Source organism: Homo sapiens, chromosome 1 (genome assembly GCF_000001405.40).
Source record: "Homo sapiens chromosome 1, GRCh38.p14 Primary Assembly".
NCBI classification, from domain to species: domain Eukaryota; kingdom Metazoa; phylum Chordata; class Mammalia; order Primates; family Hominidae; genus Homo; species Homo sapiens.
The window spans coordinates 106,581,395-106,608,755 of record NC_000001.11 but is presented as its reverse complement, the minus strand read 5'-3'; the positions used below and the strand labels follow the sequence as shown (position 1 = coordinate 106,608,755).

At 37.3% G+C, this 27,361-nt stretch overlaps 1 long non-coding RNA gene across 1 annotated transcript; it reads right to left on the bottom strand.

Annotated features, from left to right (window-relative positions):
• Positions 1-1,714: 1,714 nt before the first annotated feature.
• Positions 1,715-27,361, bottom strand: LOC124904232 (uncharacterized). Its single transcript, XR_007066259.1, has 2 exons — positions 27,242-27,361; positions 1,715-2,367 (listed from the first exon to the last, which is right to left on the bottom strand). It is a non-coding gene; the product is annotated as an uncharacterized LOC124904232 (long non-coding RNA).

The following is a 27,361-nucleotide window of genomic DNA, read 5'->3' as shown; positions in this document are numbered from 1 at the left end:
CAATTTGTCAGACTCTTAATATTTTATAAATTTAAATATTTATTAAATTAATTTCATATTTCACTTGTATATTCAACTTTCTTCCCAGCCTAGGCTCAAAGATGATCACAATGGCTCCTTGCTCACTCAATGTCTATTTCTAAGTGTTTGCATCTGTGACTATATACCCATAAGTCCAGGGTTCTATCCCAGACAAGCTGCATTAATTTTCCCCTTTTATCTTACAGAATAAATTCTGTCCTTTATTTCTTGCTATGCAATGGATTTTGTCCCCTAATATTCTCATATTGAAGGCATAATACTCATAATGATTTTTGTTTTTTTTGGAGCTGGGGTCTTTGGGAGGTAAGTAGGATTAGATGAGGTCATGAGAGAGGGTCCCTCATGGTAGGAATAGTGACTTTATAAGAATAGGAAAAGAGACAAATAGTTTTCTCTGCCATGTGAAGACACAGCAAGAAGGTGGCAGAAGGTGGCTGTCTACAAGCCAGGAAAAGGGCCCTCATCAGGAAGCAAATTGACCAGCACCTTGATCTTGGACTTCCCAGCCTCTAGAACTGTGAGAAATAAATGGCTGCTGTTCAAGCCACCTGGTCTGTAGTATTTTGTTACAACATTCCAAGTAGAATAATATATTCCTTTAACCAACTTATCTGTTAAACATGATTTACTTAATCTCTTCAAATACATTGCAGCTTTAACTGTGTATGACTATAAATTCAGTTTGTCTTTGTATGACTGTGCAAACATGTAAACTTCATGAGGTCAGGACCTTTCTTTCTTTTTTGCTTTGTTCACTGGCAGATGCTAACACTTAGGAGACTACATTTTCTTAAATGTGTGTATCTTGTCACATTAGTATATTGTCACACTCTTGCTTACCAGAAAGTAATTGAAGTTGAAAAATCCTCAGACTTTTTAAAAAATTCTTTTGGAATATCAATTTTATATACATAAAACAGTTCAGTAAATATGTGGATCTAGGAGGAAGGAAGCTCTACCAAACCTTCTGGATAGATGTGGTATTCATTTATTTACTCAACAAATGTATTATTAAGCACCTACCATGTTTCATGATGTATCATGTGCTTTGCTAGTTCAGGGAGTTCTGCTGTGAACAAAATATAAATTTATCTTATGGAACATATAGAAAAATGGAGAAAATAAACATTGCTCAAATAATTATTGAGCCAATAATTATATGAACAGAAATTTGGTAAGTGATACACAGAATAAGTACAGGTCAGTGACACTCCCCTCCTTATTTTAAACAGGAAGAAGCTAGCCTAAGCCCTTTTTCTGACTTATGGAGGCAGGCATTTGACAATATGTTTATTTCAATATGCTTTGTAGGATTTTATAATATTTTATAAGTCTCTTGTAACTCTTATTGTAAATTATAATTCAGTGATTAATTGTGCAATTCATTGTTTAGTGGCTATCTTCCCACACAACCAAAGCTCCAAAGACTACAGGAGCTGTATCAATAATATTCAATTCTGACTCCCCAGTGCCTAACAATAGTACCTTATGTCTAATAATAGTACGGAATTTCTTAATGAAAAGAATGAGCCATGTTCATTATTTAAAAGAATTCTGTGAAATATAACATAATGTCAAATTGGGCCTTACTCTCCTGCATTTTCAGGAACATGTTGCTGTGTCTACTGGACACACTGCTTCCTAATAGTATAACTGAGCCTGGAGATCAGAGTATTAAATAATGCAATTTATTTGTTAAGCAGGTGTTTTGTGCTTACTGGGAACAAAGCAGACCATAGAAGTTGTAAATACAAGATAAATATAAAACTAATAATTACTGAAAGACTTAGCCCCTCGAATTTGGTTGATTACTCTAAGTGGGGTTGTAGGTTTTAGAAAATGTAGATATTTAAAAAAACACTAATACTGGCTTAGAAAAACACTCTAAAGTTTTTAGTATCAGGATTCCTTTATACTCTAAATTACAAAGAATACCAGAGTTTTTGTTTACGTGGGTCATATTTATAGATATTTTCCCCATTAGAAATTAAAACTGGTAATTGAAATATTAATTCATTAAAAATAACAATAAATCTATTATGTGTTAACATATATAGCATATTGTGTGAATAACAACTAGATTTTCCAAAACAAACAAAAGCTAGTGAGAAGGGTGGCATTGTTTTACATTTTTGCAAGTTTCTTTAATGCTTAGCTTAATAATAGCTGAATGCTCATGAAAAATAGGTAGAATAAAACCTTGCAGCTTAAATAAATTAATTTAGAAATACATGTTGATAAGCTCTTGAGTTTGTTCTGTTATCTGGTGATGCAGAATCTTCAACTGAAAAGTTGCTGAGGTCACTGGATGACTGAATGTAGCGGCTGTGAGATGAGAAAGTTATAGGCTTAGAGTCATAGAAATTTAACTTAAAGTCTCAGTTTTACGAACGTATTTACTTGAGAAAGTTGTTTAACCCCTGAATTTTGGTTTCCTTATTAGGAAGAGGAGCTGTAATGCTTAAATTATATGATATGTGATAAAATTAAATTAAATCATATATCTGAAATGGCTGGCACATAGTTTCGTCTCAGTAGATGTTAGTTACTTTTCCCCTTTCTTTCCCCAGTTCCCAGATCTTTAAGTAATTTAGTAGAACTGAAGCATGACAGTCATTATATTAGCATGCATAGTGAAGAATTCTATGCATTAGACATTGTTTCTCTTATACATGTTGACTGGCTTGTAAAACTTGTGCAATTTCATAATATAAATATTACCTATTAATGTTATAGTTGAATCCTTTGGAAATGTCAAGGATACTATTGCAATTGCTCTCAAATTTTGTGATACTAAGTTGACAAAGAAGACTTACCAATTGCAAACTTCAAGAACCCATTAACAAGTGAGAGACAACATAGTACAAAGATTATATCAGAGTTGAGGGATTATAAGATAGGATGATTCCCACCAAAAAGGCGGACAGACCCCCAAAGAGTCCAGTGGGAATGAACTGAATGTATTAAATATACATGTTCAGTCCAAATGTATGTATATGTGAAGAAATACCCATGGTCAGAAAAAGGCAGAACATCAGCTAATGCAAACAAATTCACTGGAGTGTAACTGCATCTTTTATACAGTGTAGATTAGGGGGAAAGAGCATGGCTTCTAGAACCCGAAACATCTGGATTCAGGTTCTGGTGCTGCACTTAGGAGCTATGTGACATTCAGTAATTATGTAAATGTTCAGAGCCTCATTTACTTACCTCATTGGATTTCAGTAAAGTTTATCATTACCTGCAAAATGGTAATACTACTACTAATACATATTCATCAGGTTATTCAGCGGATTACATGTTACAATGTATGAAACGCATAAGCTCAGTGTTGGGCACGTAGAGAATACCCAGTAAATATTAGCCATCATTACTATCATTGTGAATATATCTCCATCTTTGTAAACATAAATTGATAATCAGGCCTCTCGAATAAGTCACAACAATCATAATTCAATTTTTAGAAAAGCTTTTGTCAGATGATATTTCAGATAGCCTAATTTTCAATTAAAACTGTTTATTACATTGTGATATTGAATAAAAATTTCAAATAATAGAACGATATTATGAATATACATTTGTTTGTTTGTTTTTATTTTCTGAGGATTTTGTTCTATTTCTCATTCTGCTCCAATAAGAAGCTTCTTCTATTGCACCTAGCTCCTCTTTGATTTGCTGGGTAACTCTCCCTAACTATGCAGGGGATTTGGCACATTATGATTGAGGGACTGGGTGACAATTTTAGGTCCTGGTGCCAATTATTACTGACACATGGCCTCCATCATCTCATATTTCTAGTTCTGTAACAATTCATAATTTCTGCACTAGTTTACTTAATCCTATCTTCCCTATAAATTTTGCATACAGCCTCCCACTCAATTATGTATCTTAGTCTGCTGGCATAATTCTGACCAAATGTTTACTGTTGCCAATGTCTTACCATGGCTTTGTTTTGACTAAACTAGAGTAAGGCTACTCTCTTTCTTAAAAGCTTCTGAACCCTGCTTGCCTTTAAGCCTAAGCAAGCACTAAAAAGTGGAATGAGCCCCCCTTTTCTGCTTCAACTGGGAACTGGCAAGACACTTTCCTGTCAGATCCAATGGTTCATTTCCATTGGCTTCTCTAACTTCCCTTTATATGATTCAGCATATCTTTGCTTGCCTTTCTTACTCTATAAAAGAGGAATTTTTTTTTCTGTTGATTTTGAGATGCTTGCAGATATCTGAGAATGGCTTTTTCTCTCTATTGCAATAGTTTTTCTCCTGAATAAAGTCTCTTCCTATACGTCTGGATTGTTTTTATTTGTAAATGTGTTGGTTCTACTCTCCTGGGAAATTCTCCCTTTCTCTTTGTCTTTGCAGCACTCCATCTCTTTCCCTCAGTATCCTAATCTCCTACTTGCTTCTTGATAAAAATATCAGCAATATTTTCTCACATGGCCTGTTCTCTCGACCTGGGGTAGGTGAGCCTGGGCCATTAGAAACGATGTTGCTGTTAAATTTGGAACATATTTTCTCTAAGTCTAATGAAAATCACCATCTTACACTGAACAAAAGTCTTGATATCTTCCCAAGTTTGAAGGAAGGTATAGAGAGATTCAGTGTAAAAACTGACTGGCTTTGTATCAAGTGGCATGGAGGACCAAAAAGAAAAAAAGAGCAGTGGATTTTGTCAACGCGCTCTTCCATTTGCTTTGCTTAATTATTTTAATTAATGTTTTGTTGATTAATTTATATGCTGAATCTAATTACAATATGTTGGTTTATGTGCTAATTGTATAGGAATCACTGTATTGTTTTTCTACTCCTATTGAAGCTGTTAACATGTCCCAATTTCGTTATCTGAAAATAACATGTCTTTCACTTCTCTTTTAAAGAACACATAAGAAGGCTAAAACATTAATATTGCACCTTGGCTTCTTTGGGTTCTGACTTCTGCTTTTTTCATCTGAATACAATTTAATTATTGCCTTCCTGTAGCCTTTCACCATGTGCAAATCATTCTCCATATAAGTAGTAAAAAAAAAAACCCAGACACCTGAACTATCATTTAGATCTTGGCATTCTCTTTTTCAGAAGCCTATAATTTTTTTATTTGAGCCCTAATTGTGATAAGAAGCCCTGTAACTATTGTCTCCTCATGTCCTTGCTCCTGGTCTCCTGCTTGTGGCCAAGTTGGTTCACATAAGCACATAAGATACACAAATCTCAACTTTACTTTCTTAGAGTATATTCATACAGTTCTGCCTTTCTTCCATCCATTGCTTGAAACTCTACCCAAACATATTTAGAATATTTGAAGTTTTTTCCCCAAGGATCAGAACACTTATAATTTTTTTTTGGATAATTTAAGAAGACTGTGCCAAAATGCATTTAATTTCCAGGTAAACTTATTAGATTTTCAGTCTTTTGCCCCCAAATTTATTAATTCTCTTAAAACCTAAAATGGTCATTGTTTTGAATTAATTTATATGCCTTTCTGTTGACCTTTTCCTCACATCTTTATTAATATCTTCACAGTATTGTTCGTCTATCATAATCTCTAAATCAATTTGAAAATAATAATAGTAACTATTTTTAAACACTATAAAAAAGTGTTTTCTAAACATTGTCTTTATCACAATTTGGGAGGCAGGAATATTATCTAAATTAGATGACGTAAGACCTCTAGCTTCTTTTTATATTCTAATGCAACTATAATTTGAAATACATTTGAGCAAACCTGCTTTGGGTATGTAAAAAGAAAACATTTGGGGGAATGTTGTATAAATATATTACATTCAAGGATTTCTATGTGAGAGATCATGAGATAATGCAGATATATTGCTTCTCCTGCTGAGACTGGTCAGGTAAGTGTAGCTTTATACCTAACCTGTTCTGACACATGTAAGAAACTATGGCCAAGGAGAAGACAGAAAATCTCTTGGTGTCCCTCCCACCTGTCCTGCCTAGGAGAGGAGCCACCTGATATACCTAAGAGCCACCATGCTCTTGCTAGCCAAACCTTACCCCAGGATGTTTGAACCTGCCAGGAGAGGTAGTAGAACAAAAACCAACATTAATAATAATGACACAAAATAACAGTAAGAATTAGATTGTCTAACATTTGCTAATTAGTTTGGCTCTGCTAAGTACTATGTTAAATGTTTTATGTAATCATTTTGATTTAATCTTGACAAACCATGTAAGGAAGATACAATACTGTCAGCAAATTTATGAAGGTAAATTCACGTTAAATGTTCATAAGTATTTCAGATGTGTTCAGAATGTCTTGATCTGAGTCTCTAAACTTTCCTTACCTTGTTGCTTATGCTTTTGGCGGCAGAGAAATAAACAAATAGAAGTTTATTGGATGTTTTTACTATAAAGTAGCATAATGTGCATATTTTCTAAAAGAAATGTATATTGTAGTTTGTGATAGAGATGCACAAATTGTGACCATATAATTTATTATCCAAAGATAACATTTATGATGCAGAAATGGGAGGATAAAATGTTTTAATATGTTTGTCAACTGATGTATATTAGGCATAACTGGGTTGTCCTAGGAAAGTGGGATTTGTGTTTACCTTATATCTAAGCCATTGCCTGGTAGCTGTATAATATCAGAAATTTTCTGGATACATATCCAACAGTTGAACACAATTATTTATCTAGTATATGAAATGTATGCAATGAAAAGTCAAAATGTTTTCAAATTATAAATTGTACACTTTATTATACAATTAATTAGATAATAACAAAATAATTGATGTTCAGGCTTTTTACTCCAATTCTATTGAAGATATTTCCAAAATATTACATTATCATTTCACATTAGTAAGTTAGATAAAAAATTATTGTCCATTATCTTCACCTCATTAGATGGTTAAAGTGAGAAACAAAACAAAATTTCTAGAAGAAATAAACCAGCATGCAAATTATAACAGTTTGTAATTTTCATACCTTTATATCATTGCTTATTAGTATTTAGTTTTCATAACTCATTAAGACACTCTTTGAATTAAGTTAATTTTCTTCTTAGAATACTTCAATTTGTTTTAATTACCTACAAAATATTGTCTCATTAACCTGATATCCAGGGCCTTCTATAGACCTGTCCGTTTTGTGCTATCCAATACAGTAGACCCCATGGCAATGATTTAAATTTAAAATTAAATTAATTAAAATGGGCTAAAATTTAGTGTTTCCACCACACTAGCCACATTTCATGTCCCCAATCATCCAGGCAGCTAGTGGCTACTGTACTGGACAGTGCAAAATAGAAAAAATCCACCATCACAGAAAGCTCTATCTCATAGCCCTGCTCCCTATGTTTTATAGGCTTGTTATTTATTGTTGCCCTTCCGAAAATTTCTTTTTTCCAAATTAGATTGTGTTCTCTCCTCTAACAGGTTGTGCCTTCATTTTCTTTAGCCATCTTGTAAAATTTTATATTATGACTTGAAATATCTCCATTACTTCAACAATTCATGTGTTTATTCTTGAGGTTTTGAGATTAAATATGTAAAATGATTTTTGTTGTTGCTTTTTTTGTGTGATGACGGGAAGTCTTAGGTGTTGGAAAAACAATACCAAGAAACATAACTCTTGCCCTGCAAAAGGTCACAGACTAATGGGGGAAAATGATAAGCAGATAAGTGAGTATAGATGATAGCTGTTAAGGTAGACAGTTTTATGGGAACAGATGAACACTCATTATCAGAAATTGGAGGAGAGTCAGCAAAAGCTACCTGTGAAAGATGGTATATTATCTGAACCTATAAGCATAGTAGGCGTTAGAAAAATAAAATGAAGAAGCAGGATGGGGAAAAGCACAATGATCTGAGAGTGTATGGGCTATTTGGGATTTGCACATTGTTTGCTATGGCTAAGTTCCAGTATGCAGACTATGGCACTTGAATCATGCAAGAGTTCATATTCCATGTTGGGAATGCTGAGCTTTATTTGAAAACCCAAAAAGCAAATGAAAGATTAAGTGCAAGGATGTGACAGAATCGGATTTGTGTTTTAGCTAACTTCACCCTGAAAACAAAGAAGAAAGTAATTGGAGGAGAATCTCAGTCCATAGTTATTCTTAGTACAACAGAATACTACAGAATGGAAAATGTATAATGAACAGAAATTTACTGGCGCACGTTCTGGAGGCTGAGAAATCCAAGATTGAGGGGCCAGTAATATGGGGAGGGCCTTTTTGCTGCCTTATAACAGGCAGAGTCATCACATGGCAGAAGGGCAAAAAGAGGGCGAGAGAGAGAGACAGAGAGAGACAGAGAGAGAAAGTGGGGTCTGAACTTAGTCTTTTAATAAGAAACCAGTCCCAAAATAACAAACACAGTCCCATGGTAATGGCATTAATCAATTCATGAGACTGTTGCTCCCATGACATAAACACCTCCCATTAAGCACCACTTCTCAACCTTGCTTCACTGGGAATTAAGTTTTCAACACATGAACTTTGGAGGACACATTCAAAGCATAGTGAGGTGAAAGTCAAATAGAAATCTTTTTCAATAATCTAGGTGACAAGTAATACATTCCTATATTAATGTAGTGGGTGTTGGCTAAGAGTAAGGTTTTCAGATTACAAATGAACAATTTTTTGGTGATAGTGGATAGGTATTGTGAAAAAGAATTTGCTTTCAAACTGCTATTGATTCTGAAAAGTCCAATTCAGATGCCATCTTTAAACTGAAGTATTCCACATCTGGGAATTTCTGCCTTTAAATTTCTATGGTGCTTTTAAAAAAATTACTCATTTTTAGTGCTTGTTTCTATTACTGAGCTCCTTGACACCAAAGACTATGGTATACTTCTTAGCATCCACTACAACATTACCCAGTGCTTTGCTTTAATGATCATATATATATATATATATATATATAGAGAGAGAGAGAGAGAGAGAGAGAGAGAGAGAGAGAGCTCACTGATAGGTTGTCTCCAAAATAATAACGTTGGGCAAATGCCTAAATGACCACTAATCAAAGAACATCTGAGCAAAATAATGAAAAGAAAGTTATGAGTGGCAAGCTTAATACTTTCATAACACACAATGCTTCTTGGTTGCACTTTTCATAATTGCAATTAAATAACAAATTGTGTAATTGTTTGTTGAGCCCTGGTTTTCCCAATCAGAGTATAGAAATTCTGTGAGAGTAAGAGTCATGTTTGTCTTGCTTATTGTTGGATTTTAATGTCTAGAATGGTGTCTGTATTACAGTTAGTGCTTGATACATATTCAGGAAATGAATAAATCTGAAATTTTCAAAAGGAAAGGGAATTACCATTTGAAGGCCATTTATTATTTTCCAGATATTATCTTAGGTATATATATTTAAAATATTGTTTATTTTATTTCTCAAAATATTCCTAAATATTAGCAACATCATAGAATAAGTATTAGTATCATCATTTTATGATTAAAGACACTCTGGCTCAAAGAACTTGGGTGACTTACAGGACAACCAATAAATAATAGTTCTGGAATTTTAAGGCTAATTTTTTCATGTCCAAAATCTATGTTTTCTTGCTATGATAAGTTGCATGTAAACATGTAAGTTCCATTTGGGAAAGGATATTTGTAATACATAAGTATCACTGAACATCATATCTACATAGTGGGCTAATGTTCAGATTATCAACCACTTAGTCCTGCTAAGATATCAGCTATGGCTCAAAATAACAAAAATTGATTATACAAGGATCCTGTCCTAAAGAGCCTTATGCTAGTGATGAAGACAAACGCTTAAGCAGATAATTTAGATTCAATAAAAAACACATGTGCACACATACACACACATTTAAGCTAATATAAGAATGGTGTGCTTAAGCAATTTAGAGTTTCAAGGAATGTTTTTTAAAGAAGTGGAATATTGATCTAAACCTTAAGGAATAAAAAATATCTAGTAAAGGATAGGAAAGTCAATCAGAGAAATACTTTAGCCCAAAACAATATGGGATTTCAGCAAAAAACAAGTTTAGTAGTTTAATTTGCCACAGCACTGATAAATAATAAAGCAAAACATGAGAGGAAATTAAGAAAGTTGAACGTAATCCAGCATATAAACAGAACCAAAGACAAAACCACATGATTATCTCAATAGATGCAGAAAAGGCCTTTGACAAAATTCAACAGCTCTTCATGCTAAAAACTCTCAATAAATTAGGTATTGATGGGACGTATCTCAAAATAATAAAAGCTATTTATGACAAACCCACAGCTAATATCATACTGAATGGGCAAAAACTGGAAGCATTCCCTTTGAAAACTGGCACAAGACAGGGATGTCCTCTCTCACCACTCCTATTCAACATAGTGTTGGAAGTTCTGGCCAGGGCAATCAGGAAGGCGAAAGAAATGAAGGGTATTCAATTAGGAACACAGGAAGTCAAATTGTCCCTGTTTGCAGATGACGTGATTGTATATCTAGAAAACCCCATTGTCTCAGCCCAAAATCTCCTTAAGCTGATAAACAACTTCAGCAAAGTCTCGGGATACAAAATCAGTGTGCAAAAATCACAAGCATTCTTACACACCAATAACAGAGAACCAAATCATGAGTGAACTCCCATTCACAATTGCTTCAAAGAGAATAAAATACCTAGGAATCCAACTTACAAGGGATGTGAAGGACCTCTTCAAGGAGAACTACAAATGACTGCTCAATGAAATAAAAGAGGATACAAACAAATGGAAGAACATTCCATGCTCATGGATAAGAAGAATCAATATGGTGAAAATGGCCATACTGCCCAAGGTAATTTATAGATTCAATGCCATCCCCATCAAGCTACCAATGACTTTCTTCCGAAAATTGGAAAAAAAACTACTTTAAAGTTCATATGGAAACAAAAAAGAGCCCGCATTGCCAAGTCAATCCTAAGCCAAAAGAACAATCCTGGAGATATCACGCTACCTGACTTCAAACTATGCTACAACGCTACAGTAACCAAAACAGCATGGTCCTGGTACCAAAACAGAAATACAGAACAATGGAACAGAACAGAGGCCTCAGAAATAATACCACACATTTACAAACACCTGATCTTTGACAAACCTGACAAAAACAAGCAATGGGGAAAGACTTCCCTATTTAATAAATGGTGCTGGGAAAATTGGCTAGCCATATGTAGAAAGCTGAAACTGGATCCCTTCCTTACAGCTTATACAAAAATTAATTCAAGATGGATTAAAGACTTAAAAGTTAGACCTAAAACCATAAAAACCCTAGAAGAAAACCTAGGCAATACCATTCAGGACATAGGCATGGGCAAGGACTTCATGTCTAAAACACCAAAAGCAATGGCAACAAAAGCCAAAATCAACAAATGGGATCTAATTAAACTAAAGAGCTTCTGCACAGCAAAAGAAAGTACCATCAGAGTGAACAGGCAACCTACAGAATGGGAGAAAATTTTTGCAATCTGCTCATCCGATAAAGGGCTAATATCCAGAATCTACAAAGAACTCAAACAAATTTACAAGAAAAAAACAAGCAACCCCATCAACAAGTGGGGGAAGGATATGAATAGACATTTCTCAAAAGAAAACATTTATGCAGCCAACAGACACATGAAAAAATGCTCATCATCACTGGCCATCAGTGAAATGCAAATCAAAACCACAATGACATACCATCTAACACCAGTTAGAATGGCGATCATTAAAAAGTCAGGAAACAACAGGTGCTGGAGAGGATGTGGAGAAACAGGAACACTTTTACACTGTTGGTGGGACTGTAAACTAGTTCAACCATTGTGGAAGGCAGTATGGCGATTCCTCAAGGATCTAGAACTAGAAATACCATTTGTCCCAGCCATCCCATTACTGGGTATATACCCAAAGGATTATAAATCATGCTGCTATGAAGACACATGCACACATATGTGTATTGCAGCACTATTCACAATAGCAAAGACTTGGAACCAACCCAAATGTCCATCAATGATAGACTGGATTAAGAAAATGTGGCACATATACACCATGGAATACTATGCAGCCATAAAAAAGGATGAGTTCATGTCCTTTATAGGGACATAGATGAAGCTGGAAACCGTCATTCTCAGCAAACTATCAGAAGGACAAAAAACCAAACACTGCATGTTCTCACTCATAGGTGGGAATTGAACAATGAGAACACTTGGACACAGGAAGGGGAACATCACACACCAGGGCCTGTTGTGGGGTGGGGGAAGTGGGAGGGATAGCATTAGGAGATATAGCTAATGTAAATGACGAGTTAATGGGTGCAGCACACCAACATGGCACATGTGTACATATGTAACAAACCGGCATGTTGTGCACATGTACCCTAGAACTTAAAGTATAATTAAAAAAAAAAAAAAGAAAAGAAAGTTGATTGGGCTTCTTATCCGAAGTTACAATGCTTCAACTTAATTCTGTTATCAGCATGGAAGGTGTTAAAATAGTTGTAGTTAACCTGCTCAACTCTGGTTGCAATTTAGAGAAAGTATTTAAAGAATGAGAAATTGAGAAAGGGAGAGTATAACGTAATCTAGCTAAGTGTCTGAACTAAAACAATGGCAGTAGAGATGGGGAAAAGGAGCTGGATTCAGGAAATAGAGGGTAAATCTGACAGTTTATCATAATTGATGGGATATGAGTGAGTGAGACAAAGGAGTGTAGAAAATTTCCATAGTCCAGTGTTGAAGGATGAAGTTGATTGTGGTGCCTTACAGAAATCTACAACAAATATAAAGTTGTTTTATCTAGCTTAATAACAAAATCAAGTGAATACAACAAACAAAAGCACAAATCCTCTCATGACCTTACTTCTTCTTCCAGTTGTCACTTCATTTCTTTCCTACCTGTGATCATACAACTTTTTGAAGGTGTCATCTCGAGTTGCTGATTCTATTTCCCCATCACCTTGTCCTCTCCCCTTCTGTAATAGGGTCCTTGCCCTCACCATTTCACTGCGATTGTTCCTGTGTAGGTCACAATTGACTTTCAAGTTGTCAAAATAGAATGTTCTCATCATTAGTCTTTTCTTATTTGGCCCAAAGCAGTATTATTTATTTCCTCCTTCTTAAAATACATTTTTCTCTTGAATTCTATAATATAGTACTCTGGTTATTTCTCTTCTAGGTCTCATTTGCTAGCCTCATATCCTCTTTTGATGATTAAATCTTGAAATGAATCAGTGCTCCATGCTCCCCTCCCTTTGTATCAATACAATCTCCCTTGTAGACGTTATCTTGTCCCACAGCTTTAAGTACAAGTTATATGTAGTAACGTCTAAGTTTATATCATCTGCGTTATGCCTTCCTTTGAATTCCAAACTGATCTTTATCAAATTCCTAGCTGACACCTCTATAAGTATGTCAATAATAACCTCAAACATTGCCAAAACAGAACTCTTCATACCTGTTTCACTACTGTAACTACCACTCACCCATTCCTCATCATAATGATTTACATCACCAGTGCACAATGATCTAGCCAATCATTCATTATTTCTTTTCCATCATTCTTTATTCTCAATTTACTGGCAACTTCTGCCACCACCTCCAAATGTACCCCAAAATATCCTCTGCTTTCATCTTTACTCCTACTATTCTCAATTGCCCAGGAGGCCATTGCTATATCCCAAACAGTTCAGTGCAACAATCATCTAAGTAGTCTTTTTGTTGCCACTCGTTGCTAATTTCAATATACTTTCCCAAAGCAGCCTGACCTTATAAAGATATACATTTTTGGAGGGCTTCAAAATAGATAACTAAAGGCATCTTGTAACTCACCTCCATCACAAAAAAGCAGCAAAATAGTGGGTAATCACAATTTCATCAGATCATTTAAGGAAAAACACCGCATTCAATGGAGGAGTGAAAGGAAACATTTAAAGCAAGAAGGGAGAGGGAAGCAAGGTAGTCTGCTCAGCTGGGATTCTCTAAGAGCCTGGAGTGGCTCCTGAATTGGGGGAAATTGTAAGTGATTGACCCCCAGTAGTCCACATTCTAACTATAAACTCCTATATCCAGGCCACAGGAAAACACCTAGACATTAGTGGGCCTGAGGCTTAAATAGAGAGCTTCCTGAAAACTACATGAAGGTATTGCTCCAGGGAGAGAACTCACACTGGGCCCCATACCTACTCTGAACCCTAAGAAGCTGCAGCATGACAACATTTTGAGAGACTAGACTATATTCTGCCTTGGGGACCAAAAGCCCTTGCATCACTACATCTCTAGAGCACATTTACATTTCTCACCTGTAGCCGCCACCATGACATGCTGATGCCAGCTAGCCTGAAGTAAGAGCCATTGGCAAAGTCCTTACTGCTCCAGCATCAGAGCCACTGTGAATTTTCATGTGCCCTGAGGACACACTTTCCCGCACAAAGCAGCTGCAGCTACCACCACAGAGAAGCACAAGGGAAGTATGTGCTTCCCAACTGCCTACACGCAGCTGCTGCCACTGAAAGCAAGACCACCCTCCCGAGGAGCAAGAGACGAAGAAGGTCATTATATAGTGACAAAGGGATCAAGGATATAACAATTCTAAACACATATGCATCCCACACCGGAGCATCCAGATATATAAAGCAAATATTAGTAGAGCTAAAGGAAAAGATAGACTAGAATACATAGTAGTTGGAAACTTCAACACTCCACTCTCAAATTAGATGTATCGTCCAGATGGAAAATTGACAAACAAACGAAAACACTGGATTTAAACTGAACTTTAGAGCAAATGGAACAGAAATGTACAGAATATTTTACATAACAGCTACAAAATACACATTCTTCTCAGCACACAGAATATTCTCTAGGAGAGATCATATGTTAGGACACAAAACAAGACTCAGCAAATTAAAACAAAATCAAAATCATATTAGGCATCTTCTTGGATCACAATGTAATAAAACTAGAAATAAATAATAAGGTAAAACTTTGGAAACTTTACAAATATGTGAAAATTAACATACTCCAGAATAACCAATGAATCAAGAAAGAAAATAAAGAGACAAGAAACAAATTGCTGAAACAAATTAGGATTGAAACACAACATTCCAAAACCTGTGGGGTGCAGCAAAAGCAGTGCTAAGGGGAAAGTTTATAGAAATAAATGCTAAATCAGAAAAGTAGAAAGATTCAAATAAACACTCTAGTGATGCACCTCAAGAAACTAGAAAAGCAAGAAATAACAAGCCCAAATTTAGTAAATGTAAAGAAGTAATAAAGAACAGAGCAAAACTAAATAGAGACTAAAAAAACACAATACAAAGAATCAACAAGACAAAAGAATCAATAAAATATTAGCTAGATTAACCAAGAAAAAAGAAAACAAAACACAACTAAACAAAATTACAAATGTAAAAGGAGACATTGTAGCTGATACTTCAGAAGAGTCTGTTATGGAAAACTGTATGCTAATCAATTGTAAACCCTAAAGGAAATGGATTAATTTCTGCATTAATTAATGGATTAATTTCAACCTATCAAGATTGAATCAGAAAGGAATAAAAAATCTGTACAGATCAATAATGTGTAATTAAGTTGAAGCTGTAATGAAAAAAAATCTCCCCACCAGGAAAAGTCCAGGACTGAATGGCTTTACTGCCAAATTCTACCAAACATTCAAAGAAGACTAACACCAATTCTCCTGAAACATACAATCAGATAGAAGGAATAGGTTGCAATGTTTGATAGAAGAGTAGGGTGATTATAGTTAACAACAATGTATTGTATAATTCAAAATAGCTAGAAAAGAGGACTTGAAATGTTCCCCACACATAGAAATACTTGAGGTGATTATTACTCCAAATACTCTGACTTGATCATTATACATTATATTCCTTTAATGAAATATTATATGTGCCACATTAATTTGTACAAATATTATCAATACAAAGATATGAATTATATCATATTACTTTCCTGTTTCTCATTAAAGCTTTCTCATATTGACTTTAAAGCTCTACTGATTTGGCACGTTCCCTAACTATATTTTTTTTCATCACTCACTAGACTTTCAACCCAATAGACATCTCTGTCCTCTTCAAACACGGTAAATTCATTCACAACATCAGATGGGCAATTTTCCCCTTGAACTATTCTTACTAGCAACAGTCTGTGGCTGCCTTCTTCTGTCATTCAGAGATCAATATAAATACAGTCTCAATGAAACATCCTCTGACTCGCAATCACTATCACATCAGCTTAATTAAATTATCTAAATAGCACATGTCAAAATTTTTGGTTTGTCATTGTTTATTTTATTATAGGCTGTTTCCCTGTATCTGATTTAACTTATTCCACACAGACACAAACAGGGATGCAAACTATATGGGTGTAGAAACTTTGTGTTGCTCACAGGTCTATTCCAAAGTCCTACAGTAGGCAGTTTGATAAATTAGACTAAAATACAAACTAATGGAATCTGCTGAGTGTAATAAAGAGCCTGAAAGACAATGGGAACCATGTGAAATAGGCTAAAATGGTACTATTGGTTAGGTGAAATATTGTGAAAGAGTGTATGCCACGGAATCCACAAAAATGAAGAATTTTCAAGAAGAAAAAAATCAGAACTTTATCAAAAGCAGCAGAGATTTAGTAACATGGGAACTGCAAGAAGTGTCCAATGGATTAAACAATGGGTTAAATTGTTGGTTTAGGCTCTCATGACTTTGGCCACAGTTGTTTCAGAGGAATGGACAGAGCTGAAGGTAGAGTACAGTGGCTGGAAAAGTGAATGGAAGAAAGACATGAAAAATTAAGGATAGTGCTTTTTCAAGAAGGTTCGCTGAGAAAAGAAGGAATGTCCACCAAGGGTGTACTTTGGATCAAGAAATTACCTGATATGCTGAGAGAGATGTGAGGGAGAAGAAATAATAAAAAAATTTGAAAACATAAGAGAAATGGAGCAAAGACCCAAAGGAGGCATAAGGAAATGTGATTACAACCACACATGGAAGCTGTCCTGAAAAGACATGACAGGAATAAAAGGCAGCTACTTCTAGTTTGAGGTAGCTCATGTTGATACTTTCAATTTTCTTGATAAAGTGGGTGGCAAGTCAGCCTTCTGAAAAAGAGAGATTTAAATATTGGATAGACTGCTGGCAGAGGACGATGAAAGTTTGGAATGGCTTAGAAAGTGAGTGGGAGATAGTTCTGAACAACAGCAGTGTGATGGTTAATACTGAGTGTCAACTTGATTGGATTGAAGGATACAAATTATTGATCCTGGGTGTGTATATGAGGGTGTTGCCAAATGAGATTAACACTTGAGTCAGTGGGCTGGGAAAGGCAGACCCACACTAAATCTGGGTGGGCACAAAATAATCAGCTGCTGGCACAGCTAGAATATAAGCAAGCAGCAGATGGTCTATAATTCTGTCCCTTTAGAGAACCTTGAATAATACAGATTTTGGTACCAGAAGTTGTTCTAGAGGAACAGAATTCTAAGGATGGAGTTCTTTCATTGGTTTTGTTGTTTCTGGAGTTGGCTGTTTAATATACTTAGACCTAAAAATGCTAAGGGCTCTACTTCTAATAGTATGGAGAACACTGATAGTCCTTGGTGTAAACTGTTTAGAGAGTTACGCAAAATAAATGCATTTGACACTCGTGATTCATCACTCGTGAGAGGCAAGGAATTTAGTGACTCCATACCTAATACCTTTGACCATATGTGGAGAACATATGCAACATAATGAAGCTGGTTGGTTGCTCCTAAGTTCAATGAATGAAGTAATGAAAGAAAATGATGAACACAGGAATTCTATCACCTGGCTGCTGAAGCAGATACTAAGCTTCAAATCTGGTAAGATTGCCCTGAGTGAGAGTCTTATTCCTGTAGAGAAAAAGTGAAATTGTGGAAAAACAGGCACAAGCTCTTATCATGCGAGTAGCTGACCTGTAACGAAAGGTCATGAACAGCCTCACCAGATGTCTACTGTTAAAGTGAGGGTATTGATTGGAAAAGAATGGGACCCTGCAACTTGGAATGGGGATGTGTGGGAGGACACCGATGAAGCTGGAAACACTGAGTTTGTAAACTCTGATGAACCTTTTTTGCTAGAAGAAACAGCTTCCCCATGCCCAGTAGTGGCAAGATCCCCACCCTGACCCATGCTACTATCAGCCTGTCCACCTTTGTCTAAGGAGATAAATCCTGTTTTGCCTGAGGCAACAATGATGGCCTCCGCTGAGGCACTTGTCAGGCAAGATAATGTTGATTCTCATCAGGAGCTACCTCCAACACCCCTGTTTGCTTTTATACCTATAACTAGACTAAAGTCCTGGCAGGCCCCTAGAAGAGGGGTTGAGAGTGGGACCCATAAGTAAGGAGGTGTTCTACACTCAAAAAGAACTGCTTGAGTTTTCTAAATCATATAAACAGAAATCTGGAGAACAAGCATGGGAATGGATATTAAGGGTTTGGGATAATGGCAGAATGAACATAGAGTTGGATCAGGCTGAATTTATTGATTTGGGCCCACTAAGTAGGGACTCTGCATTTAATCTTGCAGCTTGGGGAGTTAAAAAAGATTCTAATAGTTTATTTGCTTGGTTAGCTGAAATATTGATTAAATGATGGTCCACTGTGAGTGAGCTGGAAATGCCATATCTTTCTTGGTTTAATGTAGAAAAAGGGATCAAAAGGCTTAGGGAGATTGGGATGGTGGAGTGGATTAATCACTTTAGACCTACTCATCCCAGCTGGGAGGGTCCAGAAGATATACCCTTGACTAATGCCTTGTGAAATAGATTTGTGAGGGCAGCCTCTGCATCTTTAAAGAGCCCTGTAATTGCTCTTCTCTGTATTCCAGATGTAACACTGGGAACTGCAGTCACTCAACTACAAAATTTAAATACAATGGGAATAATTGGATCTCAAGATGGCAGGGGTCAAGTGGCGGCACTTAACTGGCAAAGGCAAGATGGGCATAGCTACTGTAATGGACAGCAGAGGCAAAATGGCAATCAGAATAGTCTGACTTGTGTAGAGCTCTGGCATTAGCTAATTAATCACAGTGTTCCTAGAAGTGAAAATTATAGGAAGCCTACTGCATTCCTACTTAATTTATACAAGCAGAAAACCTAGGTCAAATGAACAGAAGGCTAATTTGAATTATAAAAACAGAGTATCATAGCCCCTCAATCAATTTCCAGACATGAGCCAGTTTAGAGACCCAGAGCCCCTTGAATGAATGGGAGTTCAGGTCCCCTTGAGGAAGGACCCTGCTACATTTCTGACAATTTATGCAGTGAATTTTTCTCCCATCCTTCCAAAAGGAGACCTCCAGCCTTTTACCAGGGTAGCTGTGCATTGGGAAAAGGAAAATGATCAGACATTTCGGGCACTACTGGGCAGTGACTCTGAGCTGACATTGATTCTATGGGACCCAAAACCATCATTGTGGTCCTCCAGTTAAAGTAGGTGCTTATGGAGGTCAGGTTGGAGTTATAGCTCAGGTGCGACTTACAGTGGGTCCAGTGGGTTCCTGGACTCATCCTGTGGTCATTTCCCCAGTGCCAGAATGCATAATTGGCATAGACATAATTAGCACCTGTCAAACCCCCAAGCTGTCTCCCTGACTGGTAGGGTGAGGGCTACTATGGTGGAAAAGGCCAAATGGAAGCCATTAGAGCTACCTCTACTTAGAAAAATAGTAAATCAAAAACAGTACTGCATTGCTGGAGGGATTGCAGAGATTAGTTCCACCCTCAAGGACTTGAAAGATGCAGGGGTGGTGATTCACACCAGATGTCCGTTCAACTCTCCCATTTGGTCCATGCAGAAGACAGATGAATCTTGGAGAATGACAATGGATTATCATAAGCTTAACCAAGTGGTGACTGCAATTGCAGCCACCATAGAAGTTATGGTTTCATTGCTTGAGCAAATTAACACATCTCCTGGTACCTGGTATGCAGCCACTGACTTGGCAAATGCCTTTTTCTCCATTCCTGTCCATAAGGCCCCCCAGAAGCAATTTGCTTTCAGCTGGCAAGGCTGGCAATATACCTTTATTGTCCTACCCCAGGAGTTTATCAACTATCTGGATTTGTATTATAATCTTATTTGGAGAGATGCTGATCACTTTTCACTTCCATAAGATAGCACACTGGCTCATCACATTGATGACATTATGCTAATTGGATCCAGTGAGCAAGAAGTCGCAAACACACTGGACTTATTGGGTGAGACATTTGTGTACTAGAAGATGGAAAATAAATCCGAATAAAATTCAAGGACCTTCTACCTTAGTAAAATTTCTAGGCATCCAGTGGTGTGGGGCCTGTCAAGATATTCTTTCCCAGGTGAAGTTATGATAAGTTGCTGCATTTGGCCCTTCCTACAGCCAAGAAAGAGGCATAATGCCTAGTGGGCCTATTTGGATTTTGGAGGCAACACATTCCTCATTTGGGCATTACTCCAGCCCATTTACTGAGTCACCCAAAAGGCTGCCAGTTCTGAGTGGGGTCCAGAATAGGAGAAAGCTCTGCAACAGGTCCAGACTGCTGTGCAACCCACTCTGCCACTTGGGCCATATGACCTAGCAGATTCTATGGTGCTTGAGGTGTCAGTGGCAGATAGGGATACTCTTTGGTGCCTTTGGCAGGCCCTGTAGGTGAATCACAGCAGACGGCTCTAGGATTTTGGAGCAAGGCCCTGCCATCTTCTGCAGATAACTGCTTTCCTTTTAAGAGACAACTCTTGGCCTGTTACTGGGCTTTGATAGAAACTAAACGTTTGACTATGGGTCATCAAGTCACCATGTGACCTGGACTGCCTATCATGATCTGGGTGCTTTCTGACCCATCTAGCCACAAAGTTGGTCATGCACAGCAGCATTCCATTATCAAATGGAAGTGGTATATACATAATCAGGTTCTAGCAGGTCCTCAAGGCACAAGTAAGTTATATGAGGAAGTGGCTCAAATTCCCATGGTCTCTACTCCTGCCACCCTCCTCTCTCCTCCAGCCTACACCAGTGGCCTCATGGGGAGTTTCCTGTGATCAGTTGACAGAAAAAGAGAAGACTAGGGTCTGGTTCACAGATGGTTCTACAAGATCCATCACCTGCAAGTGGACAGCTGCAGCACTACAGCCCCTTTCTAGGACATCCCTGAAGGAAAGTGGTGAAGGGAAATCTTCCCAGTGGGCAGAACATCGAGCAGTGTACCTGGTTGTGCACTTTGCATGGAAGGAGAAATGGCCAGATGGGTGATTATATACTGATTTATGGGCTGTAGCCAATGGTTTGTTTGGATGGTTAGGGACATGGAAGAAGCATGATTGGAAAACTGGTGACAAAGAAATGTAGGGAAGAGGTATGTGGATGGACCTCCTGAGTGGTCAAAAACCATAAAGATATTTGTATCTCATGTGAGTGTTCACCAATGGGTGACCTCAGCAGAGGAGGATTTTAACAATCAAGTGGATAGAATGACCTGTTCTGTGGACACCACTCAGCCTCTTTCCCCAGCCACCCCTGTCATCGCTCAATGGGCCCATGAACACAGTGTCCATGGTGGCAGGGATGGAGGTTACGCATGGGCTCAGCAACGTGGACTTCCACTCACCAAGGCTGACCTGGCTACGGCTGCTGCTGAGTGCCCAATTTGCCAGCAGCAGAGACCAACCCTGAGCCCTCGATATGGCACCATTCTTTGGGGTGATCAGCCAGCTACCTTGTGGCAGTTTGATTATATTGGAGCTGTTCCATCATGGAAAGGGCAGAGGTTTGTTCTCACTGGAATAGACACTTAACTCAGGATATGGGTTTGCCTATCCTGCATGCAATTCTTCTGCCAAGACTACCATCCATGGACTCACGGAATGCCTTATCCACAATCATGCTATTCCACATAGCACTGCCTCTGTCTAAGGCATTCACTTTATGGCTAAAGAAGTGTGGAAGTGGGCTGATGCTCATGGAATTCACTCGTCTTACCATGTTCCCCAGCATCATGAAGCAGCTGGATTGATAGAATGTTGGAATGGTCTTTTGAAGTCACAACTACAACTCTAGCTATGTGACAATACTTTGCAGGGCTAGGGCGAAGTTCTCCAGAAGGCCGTGTATGTTCTGAATCAGAATCCAATGTATGGCACTGTTTCTTCCATTACCAGGATTCACAGGTCCAGGAATCAAGGGGTAGAAATGGAAGTGGCACCATTATCCCTAGTGATTCACTAGCAAAATTTTTGCTTCCTGTTCCCATGACATTACGTTCTGCTGGCCTAGAGATCTTAGTTCAAGAGGGAGGAATGCTGCCCCAGGAGACACAACAATGATTCCATTAAACTGGAAGTGAAGATTGTTTGCCACCTGGACACTTTGGGCTCCTCCTACCTTTAAGGCAACAGGCTAAGGAAGTTACAGTGTTGGCTGGGGTGACTGACCCAGACTATCAAGATGAAATCAGTCTCCTACTCCACAGTAAGGAAGAGTATGCAGGGAATACGGGAGACCCATTAGGGCATCTCTTAGTATTATCATGCCCTGTGATTAAGGTCAGTGGGAAACTACTACAGCTCAGTCCAGACAGGACTACAGATGGCCCAGATCCTTCAGGAATGATGTTTTTGGTCACTCCACCAGGAAAAACAAAAACAAAAAACCACAAACTGCTGAGGTGTTTGCTGAAGGCAAAGGAAATACAGAAGGAGTAGTAGAAGAAGGTAGTTATCAATACCAACTATGACCACATGACCAACTGTAGAAACAAGGACTGTAATTTTCATGAGTATTTCCTCCTTCTTTTGTTAAAAAAATGTTTATACACTTGTACTAAGAAAATATCTTCATTTTATTGCCTTTCTCCTTTATCATGTGACATAAGATTTATTGACTTCACATCAGTATTTAAGTATTGCTAACTTCATGTTATAGTATTTGGGTTGGTGATTGATGCATTTCTGGTTGTGTGAAGGATAGCTATTCTATGTTAGGTATAATTATGACCTTATTATTGTCTTTATTTGAAGATTATGTATGATCTCAGGAGATGTTAGATGTTAGTGGGTTCAAATTAACAAGGGGTGGACTTGTGATGGTTAATACTGAGTGCCAACTCGATTGGACTGAAGGATACAAAGTATTAATCCTGGGTGTGGCTGTGAGGGTGTTGTCAAAGGAGATTATCATTTGAATCAGTGGGCTGGGAAAGGCAGATGTACCCTTAATCTTGGTGGGCACAATCTAATCAGCTGCCAGCACGGCTAGAATATAAGGAGGCCAAAAATATGAAAAGAGAGGTCGGCCTAGCCTCCCAGCCTACATCTTTCCCTTGTGCTGGATGCTTCCTGCCCTCGAACATGACTCCAGATTCTTCAGTTTTGGAACTCAGACTGGGTTTTCTTGATCTTCAGCCTGCAGACAGCCTATTGTGCGACCTTGTGATCATGTGAGTTAATGCCTAATGAACTCCCCTTTACATATATATACACACATATATGTGTGTGTGTGAGTGTGTGTATATATATATATATATGATCACAGGTACTTTGTGTACTTGTCTTTTATTGTAAGTATAACTTTTTAGTGATTGCATGCATTACGTTTCTGGCTAAATTGTGAGATCCTCAAGAGAATGGCCACCTTGTATTTAACCTTGTTTTCTCAGTTTCTAGAACATGGCCTAGAATGCCCATGAATAATGCCATAATTTATATTAAATAGAGAATAAGACTGATGTAATTGAAGTATGAATTTTCTCTGGGGTTGAGAGACAGGGGTTATGTAGAGACCTACATTTAGTGCTGAGATAGTTTATAAAGAAGTCAACTGGGAAAGTGAAAGTTAGCTGAGGATAGTAAGCTGCCAAGATTGACTAGCAAGCTTGGAATTAGTAGGAGGATCTGGCCTTGGGAGCGTAACTAGGTGTGTGGAGGAGCGAAGGTCGGCAGCAGTGAGTTAGCTGAGGTGTGACAGTCCAACAATTATGGGACTCAGTGAAAAGAGGGTCTGTGCAAGGTCAGAAAGAAAATGGCATTCTGAACAAGGAGAAAAGGGATTCTTATCTTCCTTCTCTACATCCTATCTTTACCGTTCACATAAAGGCTGTCAAAAGACACAATTACAACAAATTTACTTTAAAGATCTTAATTGGCTTTTATTTGTGATTCTAATATCAGGCAATATCTTATTCTATAAAACAGAATGACTGTTTCCATGAGGCGAGCAGAGAAGGGTGTTTTATAGACAGAAAAGGGCTGAGGAAAGCAGAAATAAAGAGCAAAAAGCAGATTGGTCATTTCAAAGTTACTTTTCTTGTAAAGATTAAAGCAGAGGGGACTTCCTTATCATGCCAGCTAAAACTGTCCTGTTTGGAATTTGACTATTATTTCTCTCTCTTCTGTTCTTGGAAGGTCAGATAAAGATGTTAGTTTTGGCTTGGTGGTATGGAATTTCAGGATGAGTAACTCTATTTTGGTTTGGTCTGTTAGACCTAGTGCAGAAGTTCAGTTTAAACCAATGGCCTCCTATAAAGTTTATTATACGAAGTCATACTCATTATGAATGTTTAAATTTTCTTCCAACTGTGATTTCATTTGCAGCAGGCACTTAATTATAATAGTTGACATTCTTAGGATGAGTTTGTGGGCAGGGCTGCTGAGCTGAAGAAGAAAGAGAACTAGGTGAATGACAAATTTGCTAGCCAGGTGGTGCCTCACTGGTGGCTTCCAGGATTTGTGTTGCAATTTGTTGGGAATTTAAATATGTCCATTGACATTTTTATTAAATGTTTGAACTTGATCTCTGCCTAATATATGGCTCTTAGTCTATTAAAAATAACAAAATAGCATCAATTAATATATTATTCCCATGGCAATTAATGTTTGCTTTTAATGATAAATCATATTCACAGTATCAGCTGTTAGTTAAGACAAATAAATCAAGTCATGTTGATGACTTTCTGTTACATATAATTTCTTGTGGATATTGTCTCTTATCTCATCTATTTATTGTAAATATAGTCTTTTATCTCATATATTTATCTTTTATCTAATCGTTTTATCTCATCTCATCTATATCTATTGTGAATATAGTATTTTATCTCATCTATTAACTCCATTTGTAAATAAGCATTGAGAGTTTCAGTTAGAAAAAGCATATCTATTTTCATCAACAATCTATAGGTATATTTATGTTTTTATATTGACAATAGATTAAATGCAAAATTTGCAAATTCTTATTTATATTCTGAAGATATGGAACCTGTTTATGGACTCTACTAGTCTCCTCCAATGCATACATTTACTCTGCCTCTTCTATGCTAAGAGTTACATAACTACATCAACAGCAATACTAATACTAACATTGGTAGTAATAGCTAATACTTACAGAGAAATTATTATGTACCAGGTACTTTTCCATTCCCTGTGTATACTGAATTCACTTAGTCTTCAAATCATTTTTATGTTATAGGTCCAATTATTATCCTTATTTTGAAATAAAGAAACTGAGGCACAGAGAGGTTAAGTATTTCATATAAGATCACATAATTAGTAAGCAAAAGAGTGGGACTTCAATCCAAGCAGGGTGGCTCCAGGTTCCAAGATACTGTCCTGCTCCCCAAATCTGATCTAATCCAAATTATGATGGCGCATACTCTCCTGTCTAGGGAAGTGGTGCCAGCATAGTATTTTCTGACTGGTTCTGGAAGCTTCTCTGGGCATTGGCTATTGTGATAAGGATAAACTTTCTCCAATGGTGATAGACTAATTACCCAACTCTGGTCTTGGGGAAATAACTTCATGCTCTACTTGTCTTCCTCTCCCTAAGCATGGGGGAGGCTCTTATTCTCCACAGCATATAGGAATCCACACTATGACTTTAACATTTTAATAAAAGCTCCGAGATAATTTTTAAAAGGTACCCACACAAATTTACTTTTAACCACTACAGGGGGCCAGACCTATCTTTAGGTTCCCTAGCATGTTCTGCTTCTTGTCTTATTCCTGTCCTATGTCCGCATGACCTTGAGGAACTCAGCTAATCAGCAGAGATACTCAGCTGTGTCACAGATCCCCGAAGATGGTTCACTTATTTGGTCTTAGCACCTCAGCTTGTTGAAGGTTTTTGTCTTTCTCTGTGTTTTTTTTTTTTTCCCTTTCAAAATTTTTTTTTAGGTTCAGGGAGTACATGTATTGGTATATTGCATGTTGCAGGAGCTTGGTGTAGAGATTATTTTGTCACCCAGGTAATAAGCATAGTACTCAATAGAGAGTTTTTCAATCCTCATCCTATTCTCATGCCCCACCCTTCAGTAGGCCCTAGTGTCTATTGTTCCCATCTTTCTGTTCAAGTATACTAAATGTTTAGTTCTCACTTATAAGTGATAAGATGTGGTATATAGTTTTCTGTTCATGTGTTAATTAGCAGAGGATAATGGCCTCCATCTCCATACATATTGCTGCAAAGGACATGATCTTGTTGTTTTTTGTGGCTATGTAGTATTCTGTGGCATATATGTACCACATTTTCTTTATCTAGTCTACCATTGATGGACATTTAGGTTGATTGAATGTCTTTGCTATTGTGAATGGTGCTAAGATGAACGTACACATGCATGTGTCTTCATGGTAGAACAATTTATATTCCTTTGGGTATATACCCAGGAATGGGATTGCTGGGTCAAATCGTTGTCCTGTTTTAACTTCTTAAAACAGTGGTTCAACTCATTTACATTCCTAACAGTAGTGTATAAATATTCCCTTCACAACCTCACCAGCATGTTATTTTTTTGACTTTTTTAATAATAGCTATTCTGACAAGTGTGAGATGGTATCTCTCCATGGTTTTGACTTGCATTTCTTTAATGATTAGTGATGTTGGGCATATTCATCAATGCCTATGTGTCTGGAATAGTATATCCTAAGTTTTCCTCAAGGGTTTTTACAGTTTTAGCTTTTACATTCAAGTCTTTAATCCAACTCAAGTTGATTTTTGTATATGGTATAAGAAAGGGATCCAGTTTCAATCTTCTGCATAGGGCTAGCTGGTGATTCCAGCACCATTTATTGAGTAGAGAGTCCTTTCTCCATTGCTTGTTTTGTTGACTTTGTTGAAAATTAGATGGTTGCAGGTGTGTCCCTATAGGACCACAACTGATGAGCTCTTGGAAGCACCACCTCCTGGCTACAGGCCAACAAACAAAAAGCCAGCACACTAAACAAAAACACAATCAAGGACCCTCCCTTTTCTCCCCTGCTACCTCACCTGGAGCAGGTGCTAGTAGTCATGGCTGCAAGATCTGAAGATGGATCACATCACAGGAGTCTCTATAGACATTCCCCAGTACCAGGATGGAACTCAGTAGCTCTACTGGGTGGCTAACCT